Source organism: Homo sapiens, chromosome X, assembly GCF_000001405.40.
Source record: "Homo sapiens chromosome X, GRCh38.p14 Primary Assembly".
Lineage (NCBI taxonomy): Eukaryota > Metazoa > Chordata > Mammalia > Primates > Hominidae > Homo > Homo sapiens.
Window position 1 is genome coordinate 120,010,257 of NC_000023.11, and position 7,977 is coordinate 120,018,233.

Consider the following 7,977-nt stretch of genomic DNA (forward strand, 5'->3'; position numbering starts at 1 on the left):
GAGCTATGATCATGCCACTGCACTCCAGCCTGGGTGACAGACTGAGACCCTGTCTCAAAAAAATAAATAAATAAATAAACGAAAGAAAGAAAAGAGGAGAGATGAGAAGAGATGAAAATAAAACTTCCCAATAGGACAATAAAAATTTTCTAAACTGAAAAGCAAAGAGAAAAAAATAATGAAACAAAAACCAAACAGAATATCAAGGAACTGTGGACAATTACAAAGGTGTAACCTATGCATAATGGGAGAAGAGAGAAAAAATTGAAGGAATAATTGATGGAATAATGGCAGAGAATTTTCCAAAGTTAATGGCAGAGACCAAACCACAGATCCCAGAAGGTCAAAGAACATCAAACGGGATAAATACCAAGAAATCTACATTTAAACTTACTATATTCAAACTATAGAAAATCAAACACAAAGAGAAACTCTTGAAAGGCGGTGAAAACAATGGCTTACCTATCGAAGAGCAAGAAGAGGTGTTCAAAGAAAAACACCAACAACCTAGATTTCTTCATCCGGTGAAGTTACCCTTCGAGAAAAGGAGAAATAAAGACTTTTTCAGAGAAACAAAATTGAGAGAAATTGTCACCAGTATAACTGCCTTGCAATAAATGTTAAATGTTTTTCAAAGAAAAGAAAAATGATAGAGGTCAGAAACTCTAATTTACATTGGAGGCCAGTTCTTATTGGTAAAATATTTTAGGAAACTTAATGCTGTACCCCCTTGCCTTCCGTTCTGTTTTGGATTATGCTTATTGCTTTGTTTCTCTCTCCTCCCATTTTTAATATTCTTTAAGGGTTTTTCCAGCTCCTGGATATGAGTCTAGTGAACAAACTGCACTAAGTATCTGCTGTTAACGCTATGCTTGGTAATAGGATGAAGAAATGTCAGTATCCTGACAGTGGACCATTGGGGTGTCTAGCTGCCTCTACTCCCTCTTCATTAGGAATAGTGTCACCCTGGTAGTGGTGATAGTTGAGCAAGGTATATGGTGGGCCCCATTTAGAGTTATAGGGTGGGAAGGCCCCCCATTTGAAAAGGCCATCTTCAGTCTGAGGTGACTACATCAATAGGAGCAGGTTGGATTTTTAATCAGGTTTCCTCAAGGATGTCTAAGGGGTCATTCATCCTCTGAAAACTTTTTTTTTTTTTGAGACAGGGTCTTGCTCTGTTACCCAGACTGGAATGCAGTGGCACAATCTCGGCTCACCTCTCGGGTCCAGGCGATCCTCCTGCCTCAGCCTTTGTAGTAGCTGGGGCTACAGTGGTATCCCAGCACGTCTGGCTAATTTTTGTATTTTTACCATGAGGTTTCACCATGTTGGCCAGGCTGGTCTCAAATTCCTGGCCTTAAGTGATCCACCGGCCTCTGCCTCCCAAAGTGTTGGAATTACAGGCATGAGCCACTGGGCCCAGACTTCATCCTCTGAAAAATCTTGAAACTGAAAAGGATGGTCTGAAAAAAAAGCTTGGTCATGGGGGGCCCAGAGAGTTTGTGGCTTGTCTAGCTGGGACAGAATAGTCCTGATGCCCTGGATATTGCCTTGATATTTTAGCCTGCAGAGTTAAGGAAAATTTGGCCAAACTAGGTCTAAATTCACTAAAAGTCACCAGCACTAGTTCTGCAGCTCCTTTCCATCACTGCACTCACACAAACTGCAGAGGGAGGCTCATAATCTCATCCTGGGTTTTCTTCTTGTTTTGAAAAAATACTCTTAATAAAACTTAAGTTATCTTAGTGACTTTTTGATCCCATGACCTACAAATTCATCATCACTGCCTGGGAAAATGAAAAACTATTTCAAATTAGCATAGGTTACATTCGGGTCTAAATTGAGCGTGCCCTACCCCACCAAAAAATTTCATAAAACCTACCAGTTTAAAACAGTAACAGGCCGGGCACGGTGGCTCACACCTGTAATCCCAGCACTTTGGGAGGACGAGGCGGGTGGATCATGATGTCAGGAGATCGAGACCATCCTGGATAACACGGTGAAAACCCATCTCTACTAAAAATACAAAAAATTCACTAGGCGTGGTGATGGGCGCCTGTAGTCCCAGCTACTCGGGAGGCTGAGGCAGGAGAATGGCAGGAACCCGGAAGGTGGAGCTTGCAGTGAGCCCAGATTGCGCCACTGCACTACAGCCTGGGCGACAGAGCGAGACTCCATCTCAAAAACAAAAACAAAAACAAAACAAAGCAAAAAAACCAGTAATACCAAAAACTCCTTAGTTGTTAGAAATTCCTCAAGAGAATATTCCCTCACAAAGCTCAATTTGTGCCGTATCTTCCAGGTATATATTTGAGTGTATGCAATTCTTTTTTAACCTTTTCAGCTTTCTAAGGTGAGTGGAACCTTATTCAAAATTTTTCTTGTTTATTCCAATTTTTAGGCAAATTTCTAGTTTGAAAACCTGCCCCCCCACACCCCCACTGTACTGCAAGTATATTAGCAGAGCATTCACGCTTACAAATCAAAGTATTCCAGAAAATTTAAATTAAGTGCTGCCACGTTCTGCATGGCCTCATCAGACACTTAAAAACAACAGCAGGACCACCAGCCAAGAGTACTTTTAAGTTATGTCCTCCCCATCAGTCTCAGTGAAACTAAACATACATTAATTACTCATTTAGTGTCTTCTCTCTCTGTGTAACTTACTCCCTTTCCCCAATGCCTGAATATTTATAAATTCAGTCATTTAGCTAAGAAGGTAGCCTGGTTTAAATATTTTAAATACAATTGAAACTTCTCACATCCTGGCTCCTTGGTGCATTAATTTGCGTAGTTCTTAAGTCACACTCAGTCACAACATAACTCCATACAGAAGTGTTCTCCAAAGGTTACCATTGTTAGAAGGAATTGAACTTTATCTTAATTTTGTATAGGAAATAGCAGTAGCAGTTCAGTTCTGTTTAATTTTATTTTTCCATTAGAAAGCATATTCCCTCTGTTAATGGGAAATTTCCACAAGCTAATGTTTACATATCCTACTTTTCACCCCCTAAAATTCAAAACTCACTTCGCAAACATAAAAAGGCAACACATACAGGCCAATTGGAGAATGTGTAGGACAAAGTATCCAAGGTCTGAGGCAGGTTTCAGAGTGGCTACTCTGACCAATTGCTTTCATCAGGCTTACTGGCTTCCACTTCAGCTTCACTCACATCCATGCATATTGCCAGTTGCTTTCTGGGAAAAAAAAACCACAAAAGTTCATTATTTGGAATTGTGGATGAAATGAAATACACCTATGAACATTTCATACCGGTTTGAAATTATCTATCCTCGCAACCGCTCCAGCACATTTTTCTGTGATACCTAGCCCCAGGATTGCATTAGGTAGGAATGGTTGTCCTTTGTGTGCAGACTTTTTTTTTTTTTTTTTTTTTTGGACAGAGTCTGGCACTGTCACCCTGGCTGGAGTGCAGTGGCACAATCTCGGCTCACTGCAACTTCCGCCTCCCGGGTTAAAGTGATTCTCCTGCCACAGCCTCCTGAGTAGCTGGGATTATAGGCACCCGCCACCACGCCCAGCTAATTTTTTTGTATTTTTAGTAGAGATGGGGTTTCACTATATTGGCCAGGCTGGTCTTGAACTCCTGACCTCATGATCCGCCTGCCTCGGCCTCCCTAAGTGTCGGGATTACAGGCATGAGCCATCATGCCCCACCTGTGTGCAGAATTTAAGAGAGCACTAAAACACTCACGATTCAAGATATCTCTGTCTATGTATCTATCTATGTGTCTATCATCTATCTAATCTATCTATGTATCTAATTTTAGAGATAGGGTCTAGCTCCGTGGCACATAGTGGAGGGCAGTGGCATGATCACAGTTCACTGAAACCTCGAACTCCTGGGCTGAAGCGATGCCTCAGAGTAGCTTGGACTACAGGTGCCTGCTAATACGCACCACTAATTTTACAAAATATTTTGTGGAGATGGAGTCTCACTATATTGCTCAGGCTGGTTTTGAACGCCTGGACTCAAGTGATCCTCCTGACTTGGAGTCCCAGAGCACTGAGATTACAGGCGTGAGCCACCCACCAGCCCGAAGATTAATAATTTTTAATGCAAATATTTTAAAAATCACGACCGATGAAAAAAAATCCACAATAACCAAATTGTCAAAATTTTCAATAAAGGCAAGATCCAATCCTGTAGGACTCACTTTCCTCACGCTGATGTCAATCGCGATTCCAATAAAACATTTACAAAAACAGGAGTCTAGCCAAAGTTTCCCAGTTTGATTCGTTGATACACTGTGTGAAAAATACCTTAATGCCCAGTAGGCATCGCCCCCGCCCCACAGCTCAAGAGCGGCCTTGAGCCCCATACTTAGCCTTGTGGCCTTGGGCCTTGTGGCCTTGGGACCCCTACATAGCCAGGGGCCTTGAGCCCCCTACATAACTTTTGACTTTGGAGGAGAGGGAAGGCGACTGGGGCAGAGCCAAAGGCGGCCCTAGAAGAGCCCTAGCGTCCTGGGAACTGGGCACCTCCAGAGCAAGCTGCTTACCAAGCGAACATGTCCGGATATTGAGAAGGTCAGAAAATGCTGTCTAGCTCCTTCAGGTGCAACCCGCCGAACGTGCTGGGGCTGAATAGACGCTCCTGATCTTGGGGTTGCGGATCCTCAGCGGAGGAGTCCTGGGCCAACTCCTCAGGCTGCTGCTGCCAGGGCTCCTGGTGGCCACCACCGCCCTTCTGGTTCTCGTGGATCATGGGGTCCGCAGCTCCCGCGTACACGTGACTTTCTTTTCCTGCTCCTGCTCCCTGCTCGGGTTTGGTCCGTATTTTCTTCTCATCGTCTCCTCCAGCTTCAGTCACTGAAGTCTCTATATCCTTCGCATCTGGAAAGGAGGAAAGGGAAAGAGAGGTCGGAGGAGAGAGCTGGAGAGAGAGAGAGAGATCAGGGCGTTTGGCCCAGACACAGGGCAGCCTAGACCCGTGGCTGAGAGAGACAGCGCAGTAGCCTCGGGTTCACGCTCCTCTCTCCGGGAAAGTTGCTTTCCAAGAGTTCACCAAATCACCGGTTCGGGTCCCCAGACAGGCACTGACCGTCTTCTTTCTGGAGCTCATCGAACAGGAAACCCAGGCCGAGGTCGCCGGTGTCTTCGTGGCCGGATCTGGGCTGGAACGCCACCTGGGAGCGTGGTCGACGAAGCCGTGCGTCTCCGCGGATTCTGCGCTGGGGTCCTCTGGCTCCTGGTCCGAGTTCCGGCGCGTGGACTTCGGGTCGGACGCCTGCAGGGGACAGGGAGTGGGCTGCTGCTCAGGACGCCTCCGGTGGCTGTGTGTGTGTGTGTGTGTGACAGAGAGAGAGAGAGAGAGAGAGAGGAGAGGGAGAGAGAGAGAGAGAGAGGAGAGGGGAAGAGAGAGAGAGAGAGAGAGAGAGAGAGCGAGCCTTGCTGGCACGCGCTCTCGGCCGGGCGTGGCCGTAAAGTCAGGGGCGCGCTCCTGGTCAGGCGCGGGGAGGTGGCGGGCAGGTGTGGGGAACCGCGCTATATTTTGCGGTTTCCTTGACCACTCCCACCCTGGGCGGGGTGAGTGCCAGCAGGAAAAGGCTGAGCGGTCTGGTGGGAACCTATTTGGGGCAGGGGGAGGGGCGGAGGAGCGAGACCCAATCTAGCTCCGGAGCCCTTGGAGAAAGTTTGCGCAACACGTCTCTGTCCAGCCATCCAGGCAGGCAGGCAGGCCAGAATAATGCTTCCCCAGGAGAGAGCCGAGGCAAGCTGAAGTCAGTGCACCTAGCGGTGTGGGCTCCCGGCACCACTCTCCCCACTGGGTAGCTGGTGACTAATGGATGAGCCTCTCCAGTTCTGTTCTGTTCCCACCCAAAGTCCGCTAATAGGACCGTAATTAAGATGAAATGAAGAGGTCGAAGACTGCATGCTAGGTTTCTGCAGCAACATCCAGAAAGTTGAGGGCGCCACACTCTCCAAGGGGTCTGCGGAAGCGGGAGTTTGGGGCTGCGATTTTCAGGGCACTATGGATGCTCAGATGCAAGCTGCAAGAAACCTAACACGCCCCTTGCAAAAGCTGCAGGTACTCCACGTCAGTGTACAGGTATAGAACCCTGCCTGGTGTTTAGTGCATCTAAGAAGGCTTACACTGCAAGTGTCCCTTCCATAGGCTCTAGATGAGACTGCGGAGCGTGCAATGTCTGCTAACTATGCACCGCTCCCACGCCTTAGGTTTCAGGCTCGCTGCAGAAGCGCGAGTGCTCCATGTGCTGGGTGGGCACTGTGGACTTGGGTTAGTTCCCACCTTCCCTTGCTCCTCATCCCCTTCTGTTACCCACCCTCCTCGTCCTCCTCATGCTTCTCCTTTCCTACTCTTTGCCTAGAACGATCATTCTGACCTTTTGCTCCTTAATGATAAAATGTCAAATAAAAAAGAGCCAGGGCAGATTGGGAGCTCCACGTTTCTCCCTTCAAGAAATGTGCCTCAAAACGATGAATCTGTGTTCAGTGAGCTATGATAGCGCCACTTCACTCAAGCCACTGCACTCCAGCCTGGGCGACAGAGTGAGAACCTGTACCTCAAAAAAAAAAAAAAAATTGTGCCCCCAGACGATTCTGGGCCCGGTGGTGCGGACCTGTAATCCTAGTTACTCCTGACGCTTTTGCAGGAGATCCTTTGAGCCCAGGAGTTCGAGAGCAACCTGAGCAACATAGAAAGACCCCCATCTCTAAAAATATAAAAAATAAAAATAGCTGAATGTGGTGGCATGCGTCTGTCATCCAAGCTACTCAGGATGCTGAGGCTGGGGGATCGCTTGATGCCAGGCATTGGAGGCTACAGTGAGCTATGATCACACCACTGCACTCCAGCCTGGGCGACTCAGTGAAACCCTGCTTAAAAAAAAAAAGGAAAAGAAAAGAAATAAAAGTAAATTTAAAAAAATTAAATTGTTCCTTGAAATGAGTTGGTTTCCTGAATATTGGGATAATTTATCCAATTTTTGCATAACCACCATTGTCATCAGACCCATTTAATAAAATAAATCAAACCATTTTCATAGGCCCTTGAAAGTATGCCCACTCACTTTGCCCGCTGTGCCAGAAAGATAATTCTCTCCTTTCTCCTGTTCCTGAGAGGGCAGATAGGAAACCAGCTACAGGATGATGGGTTGACCAATTGACTCTGAAAAAACTGTCAAGGAATTTCACCCCCACAGACTCTCCCTGACATTAACCAAGATGTCTCCTCCTCAAGCTGCCTCTTGCAGGGTTCTGCAGACCTCACCCTTCTCGTGGCCAGACACCCTGTGATGAATTTTGGCCTGGGATCCGTTATTATGTGAGAGACTTACAATGATTTTAATCATGGTATGTATTAGCCCAGCTATGACATCTGTTAGAATTGGAGTCCTGTGGTGTCTCACATCTGAGATTTCCATGACTTGCTTCAGCGCTTTCTCAGCTTCAGTAGTCATTTCTGTGCTCCTTTGGTGAGTGTTACCTACCGGAGCACCAACCAAGGTAGTATTTACTTTAAAATTTTAGTTACATTGATTCACTTCTTGCAAATGTTATGTTCCTTATTGAGCGTCAGCCAGGTAAAAATAGGCACAAATGATGGGTTTGATGTCCTAAATTTATGAAGGCAGGGACCCTGGAGCCAGACTGCTGGCATCTGCATTACGGCATTGCTTGTCATTTGCTAGCTAGCTAACCTGGTGAGTTTGTTCTCTTGTGCTTCAATTTTCTCATCTGTAAAATGGAGTAATAATAATACCTACCTCATGGAGCTGTTGTGGAGATTAACTGAGATGATACTAATGGTAGCTCACACTTACCTGGTTCTTACTGTGTTCTAGGCAACGATCTAAGTGATTTGTTTATGTTAACATATTTAATCCTCTTAACAACCCTATACACACGTTGATGTGCTATTACTGTCATTTTACAGGTGGTGTTATTAAGTCACGGAGATGTTAAATACCCTGCTCAAAGTCACTCACTTG

General features: G+C 46.1%; 1 pseudogene across 1 annotated transcript, besides 1 other annotated feature; it reads right to left on the reverse strand.

Annotated features, from left to right (window-relative positions):
• Nucleotides 1-460: 460 nt before the first annotated feature.
• RHOXF1P1 (Rhox homeobox family member 1 pseudogene 1) lies at nucleotides 461-5,295 on the reverse strand (annotated as a pseudogene). The gene is made up of 4 exons (NR_131250.1): nucleotides 5,067-5,295; nucleotides 4,525-4,858; nucleotides 3,057-3,198; nucleotides 461-535 (listed from the first exon to the last, which is right to left on the reverse strand). The product of NR_131250.1 is annotated as a Rhox homeobox family member 1 pseudogene 1 (transcript).
• Nucleotides 4,569-4,740: a silencer, noted in NCBI's record as "fragment chrX:119148782-119148953 (GRCh37/hg19 assembly coordinates)". NCBI's record gives its function as "represses an EF-1alpha promoter that drives an FKBP-Casp9 reporter gene in an ReSE screen in phorbol 12-myristate 13-acetate-treated (for megakaryocytic differentiation) K562 erythroleukemia cells {active_cell/tissue: K562(+PMA)}" and the evidence as "EXISTENCE:reporter gene assay evidence [ECO:0000049][PMID:32094911]".
• Nucleotides 5,296-7,977: the final 2,682 nt, after the last annotated feature.